Below are 26,954 nucleotides of genomic sequence, written 5' to 3'. Positions count from 1 at the left end.
ATTACTCTTACTAGAATCCTAACTTTTAATTAAGGAACCCTATATTATTTAAGCATTTAATTGTGTAATTGCCTCTTCCTGTGAAGTATTAGTCAATATAGCTGTGTTTTAGGAAACTCTATATTTATAACTTTTTGAATTTCCCTTGTTAAATAACACACTGTGGGATTTGTTATACAGCACTGACTACAGAAAACTACACCTTAAGATTCTGTCTCCTGGGGGGCGGGGGTTATTTTCTATTTTACAGTCTCCAAGACAATCTTCTAAACCTCATTTTCTTTTCTTTTTTTTTTTCTGAGACGGAGTCTCACTCTGTCGCCCAGGCTGGAGTGCAGTGGCACCATCTTGGCTCACTGCAACCTCTGCCTCCCGGGTTCAAGCAATTCTCCTGCCTCAGCCTCCTGAGTAGCTGGGATTACAAGCGTGCACCACCATGCCCAGCTAATTTTTGAGTTTTTAGTAGAGACGGGGTTTCGCCATGTTGGCCAGGCTGGTCTCGAACTCCTGACCTCAGGTGATCCACCCTCTTTGGCCTCCCAAAGTGCTAGGATTACATGCAAGAGCCACTGTGCCGGGCCTAAACCTCATTTTTAAAATATAAGATAGCAGCAGTTACCATTTAATGAGTACCCATTATATTCTAGAAAATGTGCTGCCCTCTCCCTCTCCCTCCTCTCCCTCTCCCTCTCCCTCTCCCTCTCCCCCTTCCCACGGTCTCCTTCCACGGTCTCCCTCTGATGCCGAGCCAAAGCTGGACGGTACTGCTGCCATCTCGGCTCACTGCAACCTCCCTGCCTGATTCTCCTGCCTCAGCCTGCCGAGTGCCTGCGACTGCAGGCGCGCACCGCCACGCCTGACTGGTTTTCGTTTTTTTTTTTGGTGGAGACGGGGTTTTGCTGTGTTGGCCGGGCTGGTCTCCAGCTCCTAACCGCGAGTGATCCGCCGGCCTCGGCCTCCCGAGGTGCCGGGATTGCAGACGGAGTCTCGTTCACTCAGTGCTCAATGGTGCCCAGGCTGGAGTGCAGTGGCGTGATCTCGGCTCGCTACAACCTCCACCTCCCAGCCGCCTGCCTTGGCCCCCCAAAGTGCCGAGATTGCAGCCTCTGCCCAGCCGCCACCCCGTCTGGGAAGTGAGGAGCGTCTCTGCCTGGCCCCCCATCGTCTAGGATATGAGGAGCCTCTCTGCCTGGCTGCCCAGTCTGGAAAGTGAGGAGCGTCTCTGCCCGGCCGCCATCCCATCTAGGAAGCGAGGAGCGCCTCTTCCCCGCCGCCATCCCATCTAGGAAGTGAGGAGCGTCTCTGCCCGGCCGCCCATCGTCTGAGATGTGGGGAGCACCTCTGCCCCGCCGCCCTGTCTGGGATGTGAGGAGCGCCTCTGCTGGGCCGCAACCCTGTCTGGGAGGTGAGGAGCGTCTCTGCCCGGCCGCCCCGTCTGAGAAGTGAGGAAACCCTCTGCCTGGCAACCGCCCCGTCTGAGAAGTGAGGAGCCCCTCCGTCCGGCAGCCACCCCGTCTGGGAAGTGAGGAGCGTCTCCGCCCGGCAGCCACCCCGACCGGGAGGGAGGTGGGGGGGGGGGTCAGCCCCCCGCCCGGCCAGCCGCCCCGTCCGGGAGGTGAGGGGCTCCTCTGCCCGGCCGCCCCTACTGGGAAGTGAGGAGCCCCTCTGCCCGGCCAGTCGCCCCGTCCAGGAGGGAGGTGGGGGGGTCAGCCCCCCGCCCGGCCAGCCGCCCAGTCCGGGAGGTGAGGGGCGCCTCTGCCCGGCCGCCCCTACTGGGAAGTGAGGAGCCCCTCTGCCCGGCCAGTCGCCCCATCCGGGAGGGAGGTGGGGGGGTCAGCCCCCCGCCCGGCCAGCCGCCCCGTCCGGGAGGGAGGTGGGCGGGGTCAGCCCCCCGCCCGGCCAGCCGCCCCGTCCGGGAGGGAGGTGGGGGGATCAGCCCCCCGCCTGGCCAGCCGCCCCGTCCGGGAGGTGAGGGGCGCCTCTGCCCGGCCGCCCCTACTGGGAAGTGAGGAGCCCCTCTGCCCGGCCAGCCGCCCCGTCCGGGAGGCAGGCGGGGGGGGGGTCGGCCAGCCGCCCTGTCCGGGAGGGAGGTGGGGGGGTCAGCCCCCCGCCCAGCCGGCCGCCCCGTCCGGGAGGTGAGGGGCGCCTCTGCCCGGCCGCCCCTACTGGGAAGTGAGGACCCCTCTGCCTGGCCAGCCGCCTCGTCCGGGAGGGTGGTGGGGGGGTCAGCCCCCCGCCCGGCCAGCCGCCCCATCCGGGAGGTGAGGGGCGCTTCTGCCCGGCCGCCCCTACTGGGAAGTGAGGAGCCCCTCTGCCCGGCCACGACCCCGTCTGGGAGGTGTGCCCAGCGGCTCATTGGGGATGGGCCATGATGACAATGGCGGTTTTGTGGAATAGAAAGGCAGGAAGAGTGGGGAAAAAATTGAGAAATCGGATGGTTGCCGGGTCTGTGTGGATAGAAGTAGACATGGGAGACTTTTCATTTTGTTCTGTACTAAGAAAAATTCTTCTGCCTTGGGATCCTGTTGATCTGTGACCTTATCCCCAACCCTGTGCTCTCTGAAACATGTGCTGTGTCCACTCAGGGTTAAATGGATTAAGGGCGGTGCAAGATGTGCTTTGTTAAACAGATGCTTGAAGGCAGCATGCTCGTTAAGAGTCATCACCACTCCCTAATCTTAAGTACCCAGGGACACAAACACTGCGGAAGGCTGCAGGGTCCTCTGCCTAGGAAAACCAGAGACCTTTGTTCACTTGTTTATCTACTGACCTTCCCTCCCTTCCCTCCACTATTGTCCTATGACCCTGCCAAATCCCCCTCTGCGAGAAACACCCAAGAATGATCAATAAAAAAAAAAAATAAATAAATTAAAAAAAAAAAGAAAATGTGCTAGTTTCTATTTAATTTACTATAACATTCCTTCAAAAGTATGTCATGTTAACATCATTTTAAACATGTGAAAAGTGATATTGGAGAGGGGTTAAATAAACTGCCCTAATTCACACACAGCTAGTTAGTGAGGGCCAAAAAGTATGTTCTACATATAGTAAAGTTCTAAATACCATACAGACTTGAAGTGTATTATGAATTCAGAGAAGTGGGAACTTAGTGTGGGCTGAAGCAGACTAGATAAATTTCAGCAAGGAATAATGTGAGCTGAGCTCAATGATGGGTAAGATTTATTTAAGTACAGAGGGAATTTGGCATTTCAGGTATAGGAAATAGTTCCTAAGAGGTGAGACATATAGGTATCTATGGATATAGAAAGTTATAGGTTGGGCGCAGTGGCTCAGGCCTGAAATCCCAGCACTTTGGGAGGCCAAGGCAGGTGGATGACTTGAAGCTGGGAGTTTGAGATTAGCCTGGCCAACATGATGAAACCCCATCTTTGCCAAAAATATACAAATTAGCCGGACATGGTGGCAAGCGCCTGTAATCCCAGCTACTTGAAAGGCTGAGGCAGAAGAATCGCTTGAACCTGGGAGGCAGAGGTTGTAGTGAGCTGAGATCATGCCATTGCACTCCAGCCTGGGCGACAGAGTGAGACTCCGTCTCAAAAAGAAAAAAAAGTACAATATTTATTCTAAGAAGTAGAAAAATAAAGTTAGACATGTTAATAATATATCATTATTATTATAACTACCACTTACTAAACTCTTTAAATGTTTAATGTTTAAATTAAGCTTGCTGATATCATCGCTTTCATCCTTACCGCAGTCCTATTAAGTAGGCATTAACACCATTTTGCAAATGGGAAAACTGAGGGTAAGCTGATGGTCAGTAACTTACTGTAATCATGCTAGCTAGTGTGAGAATCAAACCCATGTATACAAGTCTGTTCCTAGTCCTAACGTTAGAGTTCATCATCATCATTAAGGAAACCTGCTTAAAATATGGGTCTCTGGAATCATTTTAAATAAGAATTATTCAAATACAGGGGCTCCAGAATTATTTCTACCAGCACATTCTAAAGATGCTGTGAGGACTATACTTTAAAATCACTGCAACTGGCAATACTGTCTCAAAGTTATAAGATTGAAAAATATGGATATGATAAAATACTACAGGTCCTTGGGTAAATAATAATGTTGTAACAGTCAATACTTGCTTAATGCACTATGCCAAGCACTGTTCTAAGCACTTCACATTGAATCTTCAAGAAACCCTATGAGGGCTAGGCACAGTGGCTCACGCCTGTAATCCCAACACTTTGGGAGGCCGAGACTGGAAGATCACTTGAGGCCAGGAGTTTGAGGCCAGCCTGGGCAACACAGCAAGAGCTCATCTGTACACAAAAATAAAAAATCAGCCAGGCATGGTGGTGTGCACCTGTAGTCCTAGCAACTCAGGGAGGATGAGGCAGAAAGATTGCTTTAGCCCAGGAGTTATAGAGGCTGCAGTGAGCTATGATCATGCCACGGCACTCCAGCCTGAATGACAGAGCAAGACCCTATCTCTAAAACAAAACAAAACACTATGAGGTAGATACTATTACTATTCTATTTTTAGAGATAAGGAAACTGAGGCATAGAGAGGGTAAGCAACTTGCCTAAGGTCACATAGCTAGTATGTGGCATTTGAACCCAGTAGTCTCACTCCAGAGTCCTTGCCCTTTACTACTAGGAGTGTATGAGGAAAACAATGCTTAGCAGGTAAGACAGGTTACAGGGTGTGAGGCGTGAAGGCAGGATATAAACTCTGAGACTTTTTATTTGTAGGGGCTCCAAACTGAATAAAGCAGCTATTAGAATCAAATCTTTATTTCTTAATTGGATTAAACGAAGGGAATCCACTATATTAAAGAACTGTAAAAAAATACTGGCCAGGTGCAGTGGCTTACACCTGTAATCCCAGCACTTTGGGAGGCCAAGGCGGGCGGATAACCTGAGGTCAGGAGTTTGAGACCAGCCTGGCCAACATGGTGAAACCCCATCTCTACTAAAAATAAAAAAATTAGCCGGGTGTGGTGGCACCTACGGTCCCAGCTACTTGGGAAGCTGAGGCAGAAGAATCGCTTGAACCCGGGAAGCAAAGATTGCAGTGAGCCAGGATCGCGCCACCACACTCCAGCCTGGACAACAGAGACAGACTGTCTCAAAAAAAAAAAAAAAAAATTAATATCATTAAGAGAAAAAACAAAAACCTAAAACTTATCAGAGCTGTTTCCAACTCGAAACCCCTCTCCCAGTTAGCTGAAATACCATGCATGCCTCAATACTAAGGATGAGAAAGAAGGCCTTCAAAAAAGAAGCCAACCCACTACCAGTAAGTCACTCATCTAGCCTGAGGGACAGTCCCTCCTACCCCTCCTACAGCTGCCAATTCCCACCGGAGAAGTGACTCAGAAGCTGCTTTGACAGAATCCTTAAATGATTTAACAAAGGAATTCAGGACATAACGAATTTTACCTTCATCTGTTGTCTTTTCTGTTTCAGCACCGACCAACAACTTGAAGCCACAGCCTAAATACATGCAGAGAAAAGAAAGATTTATATATAGCTATATAAACATTTCCATTTTTATTAGAAATTCAAAGTTTATGGGTCTAAAACGTTCAATACATTCATTACTAATAAGAACTAGTCGGCCGGGCACAGTGGCTCACATCTGTAATCCCAGCACTTTGGGAAGCCGAGGCGGGTGGATCATGAGGTCAAGAGATGGAGACCATCCTGGCCAAGACGGTGAAACCCCATCTCTACTAAAAATGCAAAACAAAATTAGCTGGGCATGGTGGCGCATGCCTGTAGACCCAGATACTCGGGAGGCTGAGGCAGGAGAATTGCTTGAACCCGGGAGGCGGAGGTTATAGTAAACAGAGATCGCGCCACTGCACTCCAGCCTAGCGACAGAGCAAGACTTTGTCTCAAAACAAACAAACAAACAAAAAACAAAACTAGTCAGGGTCCTCACATTGTTTGAAAATATTAATGAAAAGGTATTTCATTTTTATAAATTTTTAAATCATGAGCAAAGTTGTATGTTGCAAGGGCAAAAAAAAAAAAGTAAAATAATATTTAAAAAATTAAACACAAAGCCACTAAAGGAAAAAGACTGCACTCTGGAACAAAGGAGATTCAATTTTCAGAGTTTTAAAGTTCTGTTCCTTAAGGGAAAAAAGTGAAAATATGTGTATATAGAATTCACATACACAAATAAATATTCTATGTGTAATAATAAAGTAATTTTTCTTCTTCTTTTTTTTTGAGACAGGGTTTCACTCCCATTGCCTAGGCTGAAGTGCAAAGGAGTGATCTCGGTTCACTGCAACCTCCGCCTCCAAGGCTCAAGTGAACCTCCCACCTCAGCCTCCTGAGTAACTGAAACCACAGGCACACACCACTGCACCTGGCAAATTTTTGTATTTTTTTTATAGAGACGAGGTGTCACTATGTTGCCCAGGCTGGTCTCAAACTCCTGAGCTCAAGTAATCGGCCTGCTTCGGCCTTCCAAAGTGCTGGGATTACAGGCATGAGTCACTGTACCTGGCCTAAAGTAATTTTTTTTCAAGAATAGTACTATTGGAATATTTGTGAATAGAGCTAACAGTTTGATCCAAATAAAGAACTAGGAAATACAACCATGACAGGACAAAAGCACCCAGTGGATCCTGAAGAAATCTGACCCTTGGAGGTGATTCCAGGAAGGAAAAAAAAAAAAAAGAAAGAAAAATCTGACCCCACTCTGGCATGACCCAGCTTTGATCAAGGTCACTTTACCAAATCAGTTACAGAAATGGAGAACATGTACCTTTTATTATTAAAACATACTTAATTGAGGCAAAATGAATTTATTTAAAATGCTTTTAAGTTTAATATCAGTAAGTTCCAAAATAATTGTGAAATTGCCAACTGGAACATTTTTTTAAAGGTATCCAAACTGCATCATAAAATATATCCACCCTACTTTGCTTCCAGGTGCACACTTAAAGCCCAACAAAAACCAATGTCAAACAGGTTTGAGAACAGAAAAGAACAGAAGCTGAAAAGAGAATTTCATCTGAAGATGTTATGCCGTATATGCCTGAGCTGAATATCAAAGGATGAGCTCAGTTTCCATACATTATTTCACAGACAGATGTATATGTAAATCTTAACAATCTACCCAGTTTTGACATTTTTTTGAGATAGAGTTGCACTCTTGTTGTCCAGGCTGGAGTGCAGCGGCACGATCTCGGCTTACTGCAACCTCTGCCTCCTGGGTTCAAGCGATTATTACACCTCAGCCTCCCGAGTAGCTGGGATTACAGGTGCCCACCACCATACCCAGCTAATTTTTGTATTTTTAAAAGAGACAGCCTTTCACCATGTTGGCCAGGCTGGTCTCGAACTCCTGACCTCAAATGATCCACTTGCCTCAGCCTCCCAAAGTGCTGAGATTACAGGTGTGAGCAACCGCGCCTGGCCAACCACTTTTTTGTTTGTTTGTTTGTTTATGAGACGGAGTTTTGCTTTTGTTGCCCAGGCTGGAATGCAATGGCTCAATCTCAGCTCACTGCACCTCCCAGGTTCAAGCAATTCTCCTGCCTCAGCCTCCCGAGTAGCTGGGATTACAGGTGCCCGCTACCATGCCCAGCTAATTTTTTTTTTTTTTGTATTTTTAGTAGAGATGGGGTTTCACCATGTTGGCCAGGCTGGTCTCAAACTCCTGACCTCAGGTGATCCGCCTGCCTTGGCCTCCCAAAGTGCTGGGATTACAGGCGTGAGCTACTGCGCCCAGCCTCACTTTTTAATCAAACTTAAAAGGCTGAGAAAGGTTAACCACCACTTACTGTTTCTTTGAAGGATGAGTTTAGCCATCGATTATTTACTACATTCTGTATGGATGTGGGTGGGTTTTCCAAATCTTCAAAGGAGTCCATTAATATAAAATCCAGAACAACATCATAAAAATTTAGATTTTTCACCTGCATTAAATTATGAGTTGAAACAGAAATTATTATTACATAGAGCTGAAATAAAATCTGAGCCAGGGCTTTATGGTTTTATAACAGCAGGGGTTTTTTTTAATCAGCTTATTCAAAAATAAAAAATAAAAGGAGAGATAAATATGAAAGCTCGCCACTAGAAATTACGAATTCACATTATCGCTGCTCCTTCCTAGATCTCAAGTGAAAATAATCTCTCCTCCTCTCTATTCTAGGAGTCCTTTGTTCACGCTTCTATTATAACATCCAGGATGCTCATTCTGCCTTGTTATTTAGTTACTGGTATATGTGCCTGTCTTCCCCACCAGATCATGAACATCTTGCTCTTTCATTCATTCATACATACACACTCTACATACTACATGCTGTACCAAGTGCTCAAACTTCTAGAGTAAGCAAATTAGACGCCTAGAGTATAGTGGGGAAAACAGCAACAAAATAATCCTGCAAATATCCAATTATGAACTGTGTGAAGCACAATAAAGGAAAAAGTATAGTGTGCTGTATCATTTTGGCAGAAATGTGGAGAATGAAACAGGGGAAAGAATGAATGCAGGGAGGAAAGGAGTGAGCAGGGAATCGGGAAATATAAAGACTACTGATGTAGCCCAGAGAAAAGACAACAGGCACTTAGGCCAAGAGGGGTGACAGAAAGAGAGAAAAGTCGAAGAAACTGAAAGATATTTAGGAGTTAAAACTGACAAAATTAGAGATGAATATGATAAAATGGGTGAGCATCAGGGAGAGGTGAAGGATGAGTCTCAGGTTGCTGGCCTGCAGAAGTAAATGGATACTGATTTCATTTCCTGAATAAGGGAACACTAGAAAAGGAAAAATTAAGTCTTCATGTATTTGTTGTATCCACTGTTTTCTCTGCCTAGAAGGCCTTTCAGCTGCTTGTAAACTCACTCTTTTTTTTTTTTTTTGCTTCTGAGACAGAGTCTTGCTCTGTCACCCAGGCTGGAGTGCACTGGCACGATCTCGGCTTACTGCAGCCTCCACCTCCTGGGTTCAAGTGATTCTCTTGCCTCACCCTCCTGAGTAGCTGGGATTACAGGCATGCACCACCATGCCTGGCTAATTTTTGTATTTTTAGTGGAGACAGGGCTTCACCATGTTGGCCTGGCTGATCTCAAACTCCTGGCCTCAAGTGATCTGCCCGCCTCGGCCTCCCAAAGTGCTGGGATTTCATTCCTTTTGTGTGTGTGTGTGACGGAGTCTCGCTCTGCCACCCAGGCTGGGATTACAGGCATGCGCTCCATGCCTGGCTAATTTTTGTATTTTTAGTAGAGACAGGTTTCACCATGTTGGTCAGGCTGGTCTTAAACTCCTGACCTCACGATCTGCCCGTCTCAGCCTCCCAAAGTGCTGGGATTACAGGCGTGAGCCACCATGCCGGACCGATATCTATATCTATATATTTTTTGAGCCAGAGTCTTGTTCTGTCACCCAGGCTGGAGTACAGTGGCGCGATCTTGACTCTCTGCCACCTCCACCTCCCAGGTTCAAGCAATTCTCATTCCTTGGCCTCCCGAGTAGTTGGGATTACAGGCGTGAGCCACTACACCTGGCTAATTTTTGTATTTTCAGTAGAGATGAGGTTTTGCCATGTTGGCTAGGTTGGTCTCGAACTCCTGACCTCAGGTGATCCGCCCGCCTCAGCCTCCCAAAGTGCTGGGATTACAGGCGTGAGCCACCATGCCTGACCAATATCTATATCTATATATTTTTTGAGACAGAGTCTCGTTCTGTCACCCAGGCTGGAGTACAGTGGCACGATCTTGGCTCACTGCCGCCTCCACCTCCCAGGTTCAAGCAATTCTCGTTCCTTGGCCTCCCGAGTAGTTGGGATTACAGGCGTGAGCCACTATACCCAGCTAATTTTTGTATTTTCAGTAGAGACAAGGTTTTTCCATGTTGGCTAGGTTGGTCTCAAACTCCTGACCTCAGGTGATCCGCCCGCCTCAGCCTCCCAAAGTGCTGGGATTACAGGCGTGAGCCACCATGCCTGGACCGATATTTATTTCTATATCTGTATCTACATATATATTATAAACTGTGAACTCACACTGACAGCTCCAATTCCAATCCCAGCATTTTATACCTCCCTTCTCTCACAGGGAAAAGCTGGCTCTGATTTTTCTCAGTATACTTATTTGTTCAGTCTTGTGTATACAGCCAATTCCCCAGCCCTACTGAGCTGCTGCTGTTGTACTACCCAAAGCTGTCCTTGCATGGGCCACCATTCCTGTCCTGCTAGGGGCCTGCCAATGACTTTTGGAGAGAAGGAAGAGAGGGAACAAGGGAAGGAGGACAGGAGGGAAGGAAGCAAGGAGCCAACAACAGCAAAAAAGGCTTCTTAGAAAACAATTTACAACTACTGCCCCAACGTACAAGGAGTGTGGTTTATGACTTCGTCAGAAAAAAAGATGTCCCACAACCATACAATTGGCTTTATTTAACAAGGACAATGAAACAGTAGTCTCAACTCATATAAAATTACATGCAAATAACTAAGAAAAATAAATATCACAAAAAATTTGAATTTACCCCTCTAGCAGCAAGTTCCATTTCAGTACTACCCCAGTGATCGGTCTGCTCTAAAAAATAGATCATTTCATCAAAAACATCTTCAAACTTCTTTGGATTCTGAAGAAGAAAACACATTTTAACCCTAAACTCAACTTTATAACAAGCTACAAAGAAAGTTACTCTTCAAATAAGTCTGGTAGATCTTAATTCTACTAGGTAACTGAACTAAAATACATTTTAAAGGTATGCCAAATTTATCTGGTTTACTACTTTGCTATTGCAACATTTTGCAGAAGCCAAGATAAAGAATGTCAGTAAAATGTCACAAGCAAACTATTTATTACTCAAATATGTATGCCTATTTTGGTCAGTAATTAAAATGAAAATTTGGTTATAGCAGACATTATGTGAGGCTTTTGTTGCAGTTCTGCTTCTTTTGGAGGAACCCTAGTTCAAATCACTGAGTTTATCTGTCATGAGAAGGCCAAGAAAGCAACACAAGACTTACATTGGGAATTGCATGTATTAATAGTATCACCTTACATATACTTAGCTTTACACTACTTAACACTTTATTCTTTAAGTTGCTTCCCATTTATCATTTATTTAATCATCCTAAAAACCCTCTGAAATGAGGTAATATAAATACAATTCTATTATATAAATGAAAGAATTAAAGTTCAAAGGGATTGAGTCTGAAAACTAGGTGTGCAAATGGCTCAAGGAAGGCTTGTTTTGTTTTATCATCATCTGGACAAACCTTGCATAAAGTAAGGTGGTTCCTTACAGTCTGAATGAAGTTCTTGTCATTGCTTCTGCCTCATTCAACTACATGAAGATGAGGCAGTTCAATTTGTATTCCAGATTTCTGAGACCTACGCTATTTCCTGTAACCCTCTTCCTGAACAGGATTGAGGTAATAAAAGAGGAGGCATTAGTAATAATAACAGTGATGGTTATAGCAGCAGATCTAATGATAATTCTCACCATGACATTTACAGAGTTTATGGCAAACTGGAAATAATTTATGAGAAACAACTTGGTTGAAATAGTGTGGACTTTATACATAGTTCAACCCGAGCATAACTTAATGCCCTTTTCAACTATCCACAAAAATTTTTCTTCTATCAAAAATTTAATGTCTTAATCTTCAGTTCAAAGGGTAAAAACAACTTTTGTAAATGGTAAAAATCTTGCCAACAGAACAAGTTTACCTTTCGTGCTTTCACAATTAAAGCTGATAAAATTTTCCTTCCGCTCTCAGCGAGGAATATCCTGTTAGCTGATTCTGAAAGAATTACCTGAAAAAATATTCATCCCCAAAGAAAAAAGAGACCTATAATGAATGTGAATGGACATTCAACTTAATAGCACAAATAATCCTAAAACAGTTAATGCATTGCATGTGGTGCTATTTCAACAGGCAGCTCACAGAGAAAGTCCTAATTTACTAAAATAAAAAGAACTCTTGAAACCTATAGTCAAAAAAAGATTAAAGGGAGTTAAATTTGAATTTAAATTCTGTTCAAAATCATATTACAGTCTCAAATAAATTTCCTATAGCCCCAAAACATAAGAAAACAAATATATTCTTGTTATTTTCTTTTTAGAAAATCAATTTTATAATTGACTGAAATTAAATCTCAAATACACACTAATTAATAAGAAAGAGTGTTTTTATTTTAAGCAGCCATTTTTACACTCCTGAAGTATCAAAATATCCTGTTTTGACAAAGTGTCGTGGGCCTGGGAAGCCATGGGAGAGGATAATGAAATATGGAAACAAATGAAGGCAAGTAGCAGGGAGGAAAAATAAGTTTAGTGGACTTTATATTTGTCATTAGGAATAGGGATAATCAAGAGCACAGAGCTGTCCTGTTTATTTGCACTGGACTCTACAGCATGAGGGTGGGGATGAGTGGCTGGGTGAAGTCACTTAATGTTAAAAAAATACCTGAAAAGCCTGTCGAATACAGTGAAGTTTGGCAAGAAAATCACTGTCTCCTAGGCACTCCAACATTTCAGTTCTATGTAATAAACAGGGGAGACAATTGTTAAACTACATTCAAGATCAAGCCTACTATAAATTTGGATTCAAACAAGGCTTAACCTCAGGACCTTAATATAAAACATGTTTTTTCAATACTGACAGAACATGTAAAAATAATTTTTTCTTTACTTGGACCTAAAAACATATTTTCTCCTATTTTCATAAACATTTTTAGTAAGTACCACACAAACACCTTAATATCCTTCATAAACATAAACAAAACTGAAATGGTACCTCAGTACTCTGGAGTAAATTTTTCCTTCTTCAACTAAATGCATGGCTTCCTCGTAAAATGGGCAGTGACAAAGGGACTCCAGGCTGTAGGTATGCCGTACTTCTCTGTGTTCTGCAAGCTAAGAGCACGGTGGGTTAGAACAGAATACAGGCTAGGTGCAGTGGCTCATGCCTGTAATTGCAACACTTTGGGAGGATCATTTGAACCCAGAAGTTTGAAACCAGCCTGGGTAACATGGTAAGACCCTGTCTCTACAAAAATCTAAAAAAATTAGTCAGGTGTGGAGGCATGCACCTGTGGTCCTAGCTACCCAGGAGATTGAGGTGGGAAGATCACTTGAGCACAGGAGGTTGAAGTTGTAGTGAGCTGTGATTGTATCACTGCACTCCAGCCTAGCTGGCAAAGCCAGACCTGCCTCAAAAACAAAACAAAACAAAAACCCAGAAAACCAAAAAGCAGAATACACTGATATAAGAAGATAAACTATAAAGGAAAGAAAATAGGATTTTGCTAACATCAAAATACAATAAATTTGATTAAACCATAAAAACCATTCAAGAGGATTTTATAGCTAATAAAATCTGAATTGATTTTACTTCAATAGAGTTGTTAAAAAGAGTAAAACTTTTAACAAGCTTAGTTCATTCTGAATCCAATTATTTAAATCCACAGAACATACAGAAAACCAATACTGTATCTTTTTTTTTTTTTGAGACAGGGTCTCACTGTCACCCAGGCTGGAGTACAGTGGCAGGATCTTGGCTCAATGCAGCCTCCATCGCCCAGGTTAAAGCGATTCTCCTGCCTCAGCCTCCAGAGTAGTTGGGATTACAGGCATGCACCACCACACCCAGCTAATTTTTGTATTTTTAGTAAAGATGGGGTTTTGCCATGTTGGCCAGGCTGGTCTCGAACTGGCCTCAAGTGATCCGCCTGCCTCAGCCTCCCAAAGTACTGGCATTCAGGCGTCAGCCACCGCGTCTGGCCAGCAATACTGTATCTTATAGTTCACCAAAAAGAACAACTGAAGAAGCATTTTTTAAAAAGAGGAGGAGAATTTTATCATCCATAGATTACTTACAAGTATTATAACCTATGATTATAATGAAGCAAAACTTAGTACAAAAACAACAAAATAAGCTCAGTGTTGCTATTCTAAGACATATTTCCTTATATGTAGCTTTGATTAACTTTTGTATAACTGAAAGACAGTCGTGCTTTTGGCTAGCATAACAACTCTACATATGAAATTCCAATCTTCTGACAGTTCATTAAAAAACAATTGCAAACACTGTAGAGTAGCCAGCTAAGCAAAAAAAAAAAAAAAAACAACAACCCAGAAAACTTCTAGAAAACTTCTAGAGTGTTTTGTTTGGAAGAAACAGGATCTCGCTCTGTCACCCAAGCTGTAGTGCAGTGGCACAATCATAACTCTGCGGCCTCAAACTCCTGGGCTCAAGTGATCCTCCTGCCTCAGCCTCCCGAGTAGCTGGGGCTACAGGTACGCACCACCACATCCTCTAATTAAAAAAATTAGGGGGGGCCAGGTGCAGTGGCTCATGCCCGCAATCCCAGCACCTTCCAGCACTTTGGGAGGCTGAGGCAGGCGGATCACCTGAGGTCAGGAGTTCAAGACCAGCCTGGGCAACAAGAGTGAAACTCCGTCACAAAATAAATACATAAATACAATACAATACAATACAAGTTACAAAGCAAAAACAAAAAAAAAAAAACCAAAGTACACAGGCAACAAAGAGCAGAGTGAATGTAATAGTACCTCGCATTTCAATACTAAAAACTGAAATTATGTCAAGCACTCTCTTAGACCACAGTGGAATAAAACTGGAAATCAACTCCAAAAAGGACCTTCAAAACCATGCAAATACATGGAAATCAAATAACCTGCTCCTGAATGCGCACTGGGTCAAAAACAAAAGCACGATGGAAATTTAAAAATTCTGCGAACTGAATGACAAAAATGACACAACCTATCAAAACCTCTGGGATACAGCTAAGGTGGTACTAAGAGGAAAGTTCATAGCCCTAAACGCCTACATCAAAAAGTCTGAAAGAGCACAAACAGACAATCTAACGTCATACCTCAAGCAACTAGACAAACAAGAATAAACCAAACCCAAACCCAGAAGAAGAAAGGAAATAACCAAGATCAGAGCAGAACTAAATGAAATTGAAACAAAAAAAAATACAAAAGAGGAATGAAACAAAAAGCTGGCTCTTTGAAAAGATAAATAAAATTGATAGACCTTTAGCAAGATTAACCAAGAAAAGATGAGAGAAAATCCCAATAACCTCACTAAGAAAAGAAACAGGAAATATTACAACTGATACCACTGAAATACAAAAGATCATTCAAGGTTACTATGAACACCTTTACGCACATAAACTAGAAAACCTAGAAGATATGGATAAATTCCTGGAAAAATACAACCTTCCTATCTTAAATCAGGAAGAATTAGATACCTTGATCAGACCAATAACAAGCAGCAAGACTGAAATGGTAATTAAAAAATTACCGATTAAAAAAAAGTGCAGGACCAGATGGATTCACAGGAGAATTCTATCAGACATTCAAAGAAGAATTGGTACTAATCCTTTTGACACTATTCCACAAGATAGAAGGAACCCTCCCTAATTCAGCATCACCCTAATACCAAAACCAGGAAAGGACGTAACCAAAAAACAAAACTACAGACCGATATCCTTGATGAACATAGATGCTAAAATCCTTAACAAAACACTAGCTAATTGAATCCAACAACGTATCAAAAAGATAATCCACCACAATCAACTGGGTTTCATACCAGGGATGCAGGGACAGTTTAACATATGTGAGTCAATGAATGTGACACACCACATAAACAGAATTAAAAACAAAAATCACACGATCACCTCAATAGATGCAGAAAAAGCATTTGACAAAATCCAGCATCCCTTTATGATTAGAACTCTCAGAAAAATCGGCATACAAGGGACATACCTTAGTGTAATGAAAGCCATCTAAGACAAACCCACAGCCAACATAATACTGAATGGGGAAAAGTTGAAAGCATTCCCTCTGAGAATGGGAACAAGACAAGGATGCCCACTCTCACCACTCCTCTTCAACATAGTACTGGAAGACCTAGCCAGAGCAATCAGACAGGAGAAAGAAATAAAGGGCATCCACGTCGGTAAAGAGGAAGTCAAACTGTCACTGTTTGCTGTCAATATGATCGTTTACCTTGAAAACCCTAAGAAGTTGTCTAGAAAGCTCCTAGAACTGATAAAAGAATCAGCAGTTTCCAGATACTAGATTAATGTACACAAATCAGTAGCTCTTCTATACACCAACAGCGACCAAGCAGAGACTCAAATCAAGAACTCAACCCCTTTTACAACAGCTACAAAAAAATAAAATAAAATACTTAGGAATATACCTAACCAAGGAGTCCAAAGACCTCTACAAGGAAAACTACAAAACACTGCTGAAAAAAATCAGAGACGACCCAAACAAATGGCAACAGATCCCATGCTCATGGATGGGTAGAATCTATATTGTGAAAAGGACCATACTGCCAAAAGCAATCTACAAATTCAATGCAATCCCCATCAGAATACCACCATCATTCTTCACAGAATTAGAAACAACAATTCTAAAATTCATATGCAACCAAAAAAGAGCCTGCATAGCCAAAGAAAGACTAAGCGAAAAGAATTCTGGAGGCATCACACGACCTGATTTCAAACTATACTATAAGGCCACAATCATCAAAACAGCATGGTACTGGTATAAAAATGGGCACATAGACCAATGGAACAGAAGAGAGAACACATAAATAAACCCAAATAGTTCAGCCAACTGATCTTTGACAAAACAAACAAAAACATAAAATGGGGAAAAGACACCCTTTTCAACAAATGTTGCTGGGATAATTGGCTAGCTACATGTAGGAGAATGAAACTGGATCCTTATCTCTCATCTTATACAAAAATCAACTCAGGAAGGATTAAGGACTTAAACCTAAGACCCGAAACTACAAAAACTCTAGAAGATAACATTGGAAAAACCCTTCTAGACATTGGCTTAGGCAAGGATTTCATGACTAAGAACCCAAAAGCAAATGCAATAAAAACAAAGAAATAGCTAGGACCTAATTAAACGAAAGAGCTTTTTGCATGGCAAAAGGACCAGTTGACAGAGTAAGTAGACAACCCACAGAGTGGGAGAAAATTTTCACAATCTCTACATCTGATAAAGGACTAATATCCAGAATCTACAATGAACTCAAACAAATCAGAAAAAAAAAGTCCCATCAAAAAGTAGGCTAAGGACATGAATAGACAATTCTCAAAAGAAGATATACAAATGGCCAACAAACACATGAAAAAAATGCTCAACATCACTATGATCAGGGAAATGCAAATCAAAACCACAGTGTAATACCTACTTTACTCCTGCAAGAATGGCCATAATCAAAAAATCAAAACACAGTAGATGTTGGTGTGGATGCAGTGATCAGGGAACACTTCTACACTGCTGGTGGGAATGTAAACTAGTATAGCCACTATGGAAAAAAGTGTGAAGATTCCTTAAAGAACTAAAAGTAGAACTACCATTTGATCCGGCAAGCCCACGACTGGGTATCTACCCAGAGGAAAAGAAGTCATCATTCGAAAAAGATACTTGCACATGCATGTTTATAGCAACACAGTTCACAATAGCAAAATTGTGAATCAAAATTGTAGAACCAACCCAAATGCCCATCAATCGACAAGTGGATAAAGAAACTGTGGTATGTATAGATGAAGGAATACTGTGCAGCCATAAAAAGGATGAATTAACAGCATCTGCAGTGACCTGGATGAGACTGGAGACTATTATTCTAAGTGAAGTAACTCAGGAATGGAAAACCAAACATCATATGTTCTCACTGATAAGTGGGAGCTAAACTATGAGGACGCAAAGGCATAAGAATGATACAATGGACTTTGGGGACTTGAGGGGAAGAGTAGGAGGGGGGTGAGGGATAAAAGACTACAAATATGGTGCAGTATATACTGCTCAGGTGATAGGTGCACCAAAGTCTCACAAATCACCACTAAAGAACTTATGTAACCAAATACTACCTGTACCCCAATAACTTAATGGAAAAATAAAATAAGAGATAATCCTGGTGCCTCCATATTCTGGGAAAGTAACTTTATCTCCAACTTTCATGCTAACTGGTTGAATCTCTCCACTCTTTCCTTTAGAGCCTGATCCAACAGCAACAGCTATTACTGTTGCTTGCAATACTTTTCCTTGAGATTTTTCTGGAAGCATGATGCCTCCTTTGTGTGTGTGTGTTGTTTGTTTGTTTTTGGGTTTTTGTTTGTTTTTGTTTGTTTTTGTCAGGTCAGCCAGGCAATAGTGCAGTGGCACAATCATGGCCCACTGCAGCCTCAACTTCCCAGGCTCAAGTGATCCTCCCACTCATTTTTAAATTTTTCATAGAGACGAGCGTTCATTATGTTGGCCAGGCTGGTATCTAACTCCTGGACTTAAGTGATCCTCCTGCCTCAGCCTCCCAAAGTGCTGGGATTACAGTCATGAGCCACAGTGCCCAGCCGTAATGCCTCCTTTGGTTGTAGTTTCTGCAGCACATCTTTCAACCAATACTTGGTCAGGGTGGAAGAAACTTCCAAATGCTTGTCCTGCCATGACTCCTGACACTACAGCTTGTACTCTGCTCTCACACCCAAAACATTTTTTTATTAAAAAGGAAGAGAGCAAATTAAAAATCCACAAAGCTCACTGCTCTTATGGAGATTCAGCCATTTTACTTGATTCAATGTTCTCTGAATTTTTGCAAGTCTTTTATCCATTTTCAGAATTCTGAAAATTTTGTTTTTGACATTTTTTGCTTTGTGGAGGAGACTTTTGAATGTCTACGCTATGATTCTAGAAGTAACTCTCAAGGCTTTGGTTTTGGTATTTCACATGCAGCCAGTGCTGTGCTAATGCTTTCAGTTGATTTATTTAACCCTTACAAAAGCTCATAAAGTAAGTACTATTATTCACATTTTGCTGGGTGCAGTGGCTCATTCCTGTAATCCCAGCACTTTGGGAGGCCGAGGCAGGCGGATCACTTGAGGTCAAGAGTTGGAGACCAGCCTGGCCAACATGGGGAAGCCCCGCCTCTACTAAAAATTCAAAAATTAGCCAGGTGTGGTGGCACATGCCTATAATACCAGCTACTTGGGAGGCTGACACAGGAGAATCACTTGAACCTAGGAGGTGGAGGTTGCAGTGAGCCAAGATCGTACCACTGCACTCCAGCTTGGGAGACAGAGTGAGATTCTCTCTCTCAAATAAACAAATAAATAAATAATCCACATTTTACAGATGAAGAAACAGAGATTAAATTAGCAGGAACTTACCCAGAATCCCACAACTAAATGATAAAATTTAAACCCAGGCACATTATTCCAGAACTTAAGCACCAAATTATACCCTTCCTATCAGCCTTATCCAAACAGCCAAGGGATAAGAAGTTTCAGCATCAGCAATATTTATGATACATAAATATGTCCATTAGGCCAGATGCAAAAAAAAAGGTATGAAGAGATGACAGTATCTCACAGTATATATTCTCTACTTTAAGTAACATTTCCCCTCATATTTTAAGGAATATATGTTATGCTAAAGGGCAAAGTCTTCTTGAGGCTAACAAAACTAAACAGCTTTTTAAAAATAACTTAGAATGAAAATTCTTTAGATATTAAACAGTTTAAATTTTTGTACCACTGTCAAAACAAATAAGACCCACATACATGTACTATTAGTATTCTCTATCCTCTATTAGAGAAAAATCCTAAGAAGTAAACTGGGGGCCAGGTGCGGTGGCTCACACCTGTAATCCCAGCACTTTGGGAGGTTGACGTGCGCAGATCACTTGAGGTCAGAAGCTCGAGACCAGCCTGGCCATGATGGCGAAACCCCATCTCTACTAAAAATACAAAAATTAGCCGGGTATGGTGGCACATGCCTGTAATCCCACCTACTTGGGAGGCTGAGGCAGAAGAATTGCTTGAACCTGGGAGGTAGAGGTTGCAAGGTTGCAGTGAGCTGAGATCACACCACTACACTCCAACCTGAGTGACAGAGTAAGACTCTGTCTCAAAAAAAAAAAAAAAAAAGAAAGAAAACTAAACTGGGCTCCAATTAAACCCTCTACATGAAATAATTTCTAACAATAATAAGAAGACAATCCAACAATGGGAGATTCCAGAGTTGAGTCTTGAATTATTGATCTACCTTGCTTATTTGTTGGTTTGGTTTAAGTAATCGTTTAAAGAAGCCTCCTAAAATAAGACTGCAGCTGTGAGAATATATCATGTTGAAGATTTGATACTAGCTAACATTATTGACTCTTCAGAGACAATGCCAGCTTAGAAACATTTATTTAAATCATTAATCTTAAACTTTTTTAAACAAAAAGAAACTCATTAAAACATTGGTTGAAATTCTTATTTCAGAATACATCACATAGGAAGAATTTCTCAACAAAATTCCCAAACATGTTTTAAAAGGTTTTAGAAAAAAATTAACATTTAAATAGAGCTGAGAAGTTATTTCAGAAGCAGCGGTCAATAAGGCAGTTAATTTCAGCTATGGAACATGCAATTTACTATTAAAAGGGGGTCTTTTTTTTACTAGCTGAAATTTCCTATGTATTTTGAAATTATTCTTCTCCCAAAAGGCTACATTTAAAAAAAACTCATTTTAATATTTTCAAAAAGAAAAGTAATACTATATTTGTTTACACCAAATCATCATCCTACCTTTTGTTATTTCCCATATTTCAGAAGTACCATAAATATGACCATAAAAGAAATCAAACAAGGCCCGGCGCGGTGGCTCATGCCTGTAATCCTAGCACTTTGGGAGGCGGAGGTGGGTGGATCATCTGAGGGTCAGGAGTTCAAGACCAGCCTGGCCAATATGGCAAAACCCCATCTCTACTAAAAATACAGAAATTAGCTGGGTGTGGTGGCAGGTGCCTGCAATCCCAGCTACTTGGGAGGCTGAGGCAGGTGAATCACTTGAACACGGGAGGTAGAGGTTGCAGTGAGGCAAGATCGTGCCATTGCACTCCAGCCTGGGTGACAAGAGCAAAACTCCATCTCACAAAAACAAAACAAAAAAAAAAAGAAAGAAAGAAAGAAATCAAACAAGTCAACAACAACAGCAACAATAAAAACAGAAAAATAGATAATTCCCACATATGAAGCAACCAGTGAAAACTGTGTTTGGGGATTAGCTAAAGATTTCAAACATCCTAAATTACTTCTCTTGGGCCCCATGAGGTACAAGATGGACTGAGCCTTATCCTCCTTGGCATGTAATGACTTTGCTAAATTTGAAGTAATATTTTTTAAAAGCCTTAATCCAGACCAGGTCCTCTGAATGACCATGAATGAAATGTCTGAAGTTTCAAGATTATTACAAGTAGGGACATGAAATAGGCTAAGTTCTATTTTAATGTGGACCATTTTATACATGTTTACATTTTCCTTTCAAATCAATCACCTAAAATTATAAATAAGACTTACAGTTAAAGAAAGCAGGCTGTTACCAATCTGTATCCCTTAATAGACAATAGGAACTTAAAATAGCCACCCTCCAAATTGGGTCTTCAATGATTCTCTCACCCTGGTTACTCACATCCCAACCCACATTGAATAGGGCTAACCTGTGTAACCAACAGCACATTGTGGAAATGAAAGAATGAGATTTCTGAGGATAGGTCAAAACAGTCATCACTTCCACCTTGCCCTCTCTTGGGTCACTCCCTCTGCGGGAAGCCAGGTGCCATGCTGTAAAGATACTCAAATAGTCCTATAGAAAAGTCTATGTGGTAAGAAACTTAGGTCTTCTGTTAATGGATAGCACCAACTTTCCATTCATAGGAGTGAGTTATCTTGGGAACAGATCTTTCAGCCCCAGTCAAGCCTTCATACTTTTTTTTTTTTTTTTTTGAGAGAGAGTCTCACTCTGTTGCCCAGGCTGGAGTACAGTGGCACAATCTTGGCTCACTACAACCTCTGCTTCCCAGGTTCAAGCGATTCTCCTGCCTCAGCCTACTACGTAGCTGGGATTACAGGCGTGTGCCACCACACTGGCTAATTTTTGTATTTTTAGTAGAGACTGGGTTTCACCATGTTGGCCAGGCTGGTGTAGAACTCCTGACCTCAGGTGATCACCCATCTCGGTCTCCCAAAGTGCTGGGATTACAGGCGTGAGCACCACGGACGGCCATGCCTTCATACTTTCATAGAAGAAAAATTTTAAATGATAGATGTAGCCCTCTCTCCCTTTTCAGGTTATAATTATCCTAAATATTCATCTTTGTCACTTTGTACATTATTATTGGTGTATTTTTTAAGCATATCACTATTTTTTATTTTCATTTAAGCCAACTATGCTGTAAGCTATTTAGACAAGATGTATGATTCACATTTTACACTTTAATACAAATTTCAGAACGTAAAGTGTATTTTCTATTGTTCAAATCCATATTTTATCTGAAATACAATATTTATAAAACAAACAGCTCGTGCAACAAAACCAACATTATTAGAAGAGTTAAATTATTTATTTAAAAAAAGGTTTTTTTTAGAGACAGGGTCCCGCTGTCGCCCAGGTTGGAGTGCAGTGGTATGATCATAGCTCACTGTAACATCAAATTCCTAGGCTCAGGTGATCTTCCTGCCTCAGCCTCTCGAACAGCTGGGACTACAGGCATGCACCACCACACCAGGCTTTTTGTTTTTTAAATAGAGACAAGGTCTCGTTATCTTGCATAGGCTGGTCTTGAATGCCTGGCCTCAAGTGATCCTTCTGCCTCGGCCTCCCAAAATGTTGGTATTACAGGCACGAGCTACCACATCTGGCCAAAATTATTTTTTAATGGTTGTAGTGGAGCCAATTTTCCTCATTATGTACCTACAGGGAATTAGCACAATATGATTCTGGAATACAACAAAGAATGTGGTATTGATAAGTACATACTCTATATAAATTCAGCCAAACATCCACATCCAAACATCCAAGATGTAAGACTGACTTTTGATTTTAACCTAAAATTTTGAAAATAAATTTTAAAATGCCCTCCAAACTACTGGTAACACACTCCTTTATGGTTTTATGCAGCAGGTTCCAGGAATTACAGTTTTCTGTGCTTCCTTAAATCTTTCTCTTGGGGTAGCCATCAATCATCTTGTTTGTCAATATAGCTCTTTGCATTAACCTGCACCATCTGCCTGGCCAAGTACCTGTCTCTAGCTGACATTACAGTTTCTTCGTTGTTCCTCTTTGCAAACTTGCTCACTGCCTCAGGTGGTCTCTCTTGTTCTTTACCCTTCTCTTGCCTTTCTGTGAGTCTGTGTTTTGCTCCCAGTGATGATTCAGAATTAGAGGGTTTCTCCTGGTTTCCTTCTTTGTCTTTTGTCATGTTTCTCATTTTGTTGGATCTTTCTTGGTCAAGAAATTTATTCTTTGCCCTAGAACTTGGGCTGCTTTCCTTTCTGAAGATTTCTTTCTGAAGATCAAACACTTACTTCTTGTTTTTCTCTATCTCTGTATTTATCATTATTTTCATATCTTTCTTTCCTTACTTTCATACGCTCTTCCTTTGCTTTGCTTTTCTCTTCCTTCTCTCCTTTCTCACTGTGTCGGTTCTGATCATTTTGTTGTCTCTCTTTCTTGTTCTCTTTGGGAATATTTCTCCCCATCTTTCTCCCTTTTCCACACTCTGTCACTTCTTTCTCTTTGGTCCCTCGCCCTTAGTTTATCTTCCTGTTCATGCCTCTTCCAATGGGAATCTCTATGACTGGTCTCCTGTGCCTATGAGAATCCCTTTCTTTCTGGTAATCACGGTCAGTGTAATGGTTCTCCTCGTCTCTGGATTGCTTCTGTTGGTGCTGATCTTCCCTTTTCTCGTGTCCTCTCGATGTTCGTGATCCTTTCGTGTGGTGTCTGGCACTGTGCCCTCTTTCTTCACTAGGTGACTGAGAGTGGTTTTGATTCCTGTGGTGCTTGGGGGTGATTCTCAGGGGTCTCTACGACCTTTTCCCTTCTGCAGTTCACTCTAGTTTCTTTATTTCATCATCCTTGCTGCTCTTAGCATCAAAGTCACTGTCTGCATCTGGGTTTTCCTCTACTTTCACATCAGTTTGAAGAATGCATTTCTCTTGTGGTATTCCGTTTTTTGAACTTACTTCATCAGAGTAGCCCCTTGATTTCTCTTCCTTTATACCAGATCTGGCTTCACGAAAGCTGCATTTAGGTACTTCCTCTTCACCAACTGCTTGATTTAGTAAGTGTCTATAAAATCCACTGAGATCTTTCTGCTTGGTTACATCCAAACACGCTTCCAGCGCAGCAGCCCTCTTTTTTCTTTCTTCTTCAGCTCTCTCTTGCAGTTTTTTCTTATATGCAGATGTCACAAATGCCTCTTTATCATCAAACTCTCCCTTTTCCATTTCTCTTTCTCTCTGTATTTCCTTTTCCATTTCTCGTTCTCTCTGTATTTTCTTTTCCATTCTTTTTTCCTGTTCCTTTTTTCTGATCTCAACTGCTTTTAGCAAGTTGTGAATATACTTGGGCTTTCAGTCTTTCCCCAAAAGCAATTTAGTATTGTTTTCCTCCTTTTTTTCCTGCATTTCATCATAAATACTGTCATATTCATACACAGTAGCATTTTCTGCAAGGGCCTTCTGGATTCCAGTTTGGTCTGTTTCATGGCCTGCTTCTTAGCAGCTTCCCTCTGAAGGCTTTCACTCATGGAGGTCTCATCATCATCATCAGAATCATTCCCAAACACTGACGGTTTTTGCAAAACAGGATGCAACTGCTGTGTTTTCTTTGGCAAAATAAACCCATACTGCCTGCCCAGAATCACCATCTTGTTCCCATATCTACTGAACGTGGCCCTACTGTTGGTGTAGTTTCTGGATTGCTATAAATAAGTGTCGTCAAATCAGAGAGGTGGATATAGCAAAAGCTTTCCAAGGTTCCATTTAGAGTACAAGTAGAGGTATCTAAATTATTTTATTTTATTTTATTTTTTGAGACAGTCTCGCTGTTGCCCAGGCTGGAGTGCAGTGGCGCAATCTCAGTTCATTGCAAGCTCCACCTCCCAGGTTCACGCCATTCTCCTGCCTCAGCCTCCTGAGTAGCAGGGACTACAGGCGCCCGCCACCATGCCTGGCTAATTTTTTGTATTTTTAGTAGAGGAGGGGTTTCACCATGTTAGCCAGGATGGTCTCGATCTCCTGACCTTGTGATCTGCCTGCCTTGGCCTCCCAAAGTGCTGGGATTACAGGTGTGAGCCAGCAGTCCCGGCCGAGGTATCTGAATTATAAAAAATAAAATTTTCAGCTGGACACAGTGGCTCACACCTATAATCCCAGCACTTTGGGAGGCCAACGAGGGAGGATTGCTTGAGCTCAGGAGTTTGAGACCAGCCTGGGCAACCTGACAAGACCCCACCTCTATTTAAAAAAATTTTTTTAAATAAAATTTTCTTTTTAAAGAGAAGCCTATGATTTCTCTATTAAATACATATACACAATTGCAGAGTGGTAATTCTATAAAAAATGGAATCTACAGCTAAAAACTGCTCTCTGCAATATTAGTTTCTACCTATTAAATGACAATATCTTTAACAGATGGAAGAATTAGGAGTAAAATGGGAAGGTATCCCAACATCAAAAAGACTTTTCAGAACTTGAAAGAAAACATTATGCTAAGTGAAAGAAAGCCAAATACAACATATCGCATGGTATGATTCCACTTATAAGAAATGTCCAGAATAAGGCAAATTCATAGAGTCAGAAGGTATTGGGTGCCAAGGGCTGGGGGGTAAAGGGAGTTGGAGAGTGACTGCTATTGGGCAGGGGTTTGTGTTTAGGGTGATAAAAATGTTCTGAAATTAGAAAGTAGTGCTGGCTGCACAACTATATAAACATACTATAAACCACTGAACTCTATATTTTAAAAGGGTGAATTTTATGGCATGTGAATTACTGTCAAGAAAGCTATATTTAAAAAAAAAAAAAAAAAGCTTTTCATCCGTGGTTCCAAACCAATGTTTGGCAAAGCTTATACAGGAAAATCTTGTTAATCACTTTCACAAATGATTGATCTAGCTTATAGAAAAACCGATACCAGAAATTGTTTTAATCTAACTAGGCAAGAAATCTTTCTGGTAATCCTGAAAAGGTTTTCGAACGATCAAAAACTTGTTTAACTTCCCAAAGCATTCTGATTCTATTAACTTAGTAATTTTCTTCATTAAAACAATTTTCCCTAATTTAACCTTAAGTGCTTGGCATATAGTTAAAAATAATTTAACAAACATTTCTTATAAAATAATTTATCTTGGAACATTCACATTCTGAGACCATACATTTATACCATGGAAGCATTCTTAGGGTATTTCTTGAATAGTAAGTCCTTTTCATGTATATTCATGCATTTTGTTTTCCACAAGTATTTAATAATTTTTATTAAACTTTATTAAACAATAAATTTAAAGTGAGTACAATGAACACTTAGCAAAATATTTTTTAAAGTTGCATATTAGAAAAAAAACTTTAGAGCAATTAGGTATATTGTTCCTCACAATGGAAAAAAGTGCAAAGTGAATAGCAATTTTTCTCCTTACAAACGACCTAGGACATAGTATCTACAGAATAGAAAGACAAATATGTATATAATGAACAGTAAAAGGAAGAGGAAACAGCTTTCCCATAGAACAAGAAAATATATTCTGTCTACTGCAAACTTATAAGTGGAAAAATTTTTTTAATGTAAACAATTAGGAGATGATACTGTAAGTGATGGCTGAAATATACACATATAGAAAAACCTTGAGAAGATAAAAGATATTATGAATCAGTACTACTTTTAAAAAGGCAGATCCAAAGTTTAAGGTACAGGTATTGGAATATCTAAAGCTTCCAAACTAGAGATAAAATTCACACATCAGTTATAGATGTGTAATACTACTTCTGTGCATGTGTGTGTGAGACAGAGTCTCACTCTGTTGACCAGGCTGCAGTGCAGTGGTGCGATCTTGGCACACTGCAACCTCCATCTCCCAGGTTCAAGCGATTCTTGTGCCTCAGCCTCCTGAGTAGCTGTGATTACAGGCATGCACCA

General features: G+C 41.5%; 1 protein-coding gene and 2 pseudogenes across 17 annotated transcripts in view, besides 1 other annotated feature; all 3 read right to left on the bottom strand.

Annotated features, from left to right (window-relative positions):
- MIGA1 (mitoguardin 1) overlaps positions 1 to 26,954 on the bottom strand; it is a 99,892-nt gene that overhangs the window by 7,740 nt on the left and 65,198 nt on the right. For 14 of the 17 annotated variants that reach the window (NM_001270384.2, NM_198549.4, NM_001416120.1 and 11 more), the window contains 6 exons: positions 12,745 to 12,863; positions 12,415 to 12,487; positions 11,675 to 11,761; positions 10,479 to 10,577; positions 7,773 to 7,907; positions 5,410 to 5,463 (listed from right to left, as the gene is read on the bottom strand). In NM_001270384.2, coding sequence (NP_001257313.1) covers positions 5,410 to 5,463; positions 7,773 to 7,907; positions 10,479 to 10,577; positions 11,675 to 11,761; positions 12,415 to 12,487; positions 12,745 to 12,863 — 567 coding nt within the window. Of the gene's footprint in view, positions 1 to 3,163; positions 3,554 to 5,409; positions 5,464 to 7,772; positions 7,908 to 10,478; positions 10,578 to 11,674; positions 11,762 to 12,414; positions 12,488 to 12,744; positions 12,864 to 26,954 lie in introns of those variants that run through there. The other 3 variants (NM_001394573.1, NM_001394576.1, NM_001394575.1) reach the window with 1 other exon arrangement.
- Positions 385 to 1,255: an enhancer, noted in NCBI's record as "H3K27ac-H3K4me1 hESC enhancer chr1:78336231-78337101 (GRCh37/hg19 assembly coordinates)". NCBI's record gives its function as "activates a minimal SCP1, AML or CMV promoter by ChIP-STARR-seq in naive and primed H9 embryonic stem cells {active_cell/tissue: H9 hESC(naive and primed)}" and the evidence as "EXISTENCE:reporter gene assay evidence [ECO:0000049][PMID:30033119]".
- HSPE1P25 (heat shock protein family E (Hsp10) member 1 pseudogene 25) lies at positions 17,918 to 18,478 on the bottom strand (annotated as a pseudogene).
- Positions 22,802 to 24,721, bottom strand: NSRP1P1 (nuclear speckle splicing regulatory protein 1 pseudogene 1; annotated as a pseudogene).

Source organism: Homo sapiens, chromosome 1 (genome assembly GCF_000001405.40).
Source record: "Homo sapiens chromosome 1, GRCh38.p14 Primary Assembly".
NCBI classification, from domain to species: domain Eukaryota; kingdom Metazoa; phylum Chordata; class Mammalia; order Primates; family Hominidae; genus Homo; species Homo sapiens.
Note: the sequence above shows the minus strand (reverse complement) of the source record. Positions and strands in the feature narration are given on the sequence as shown.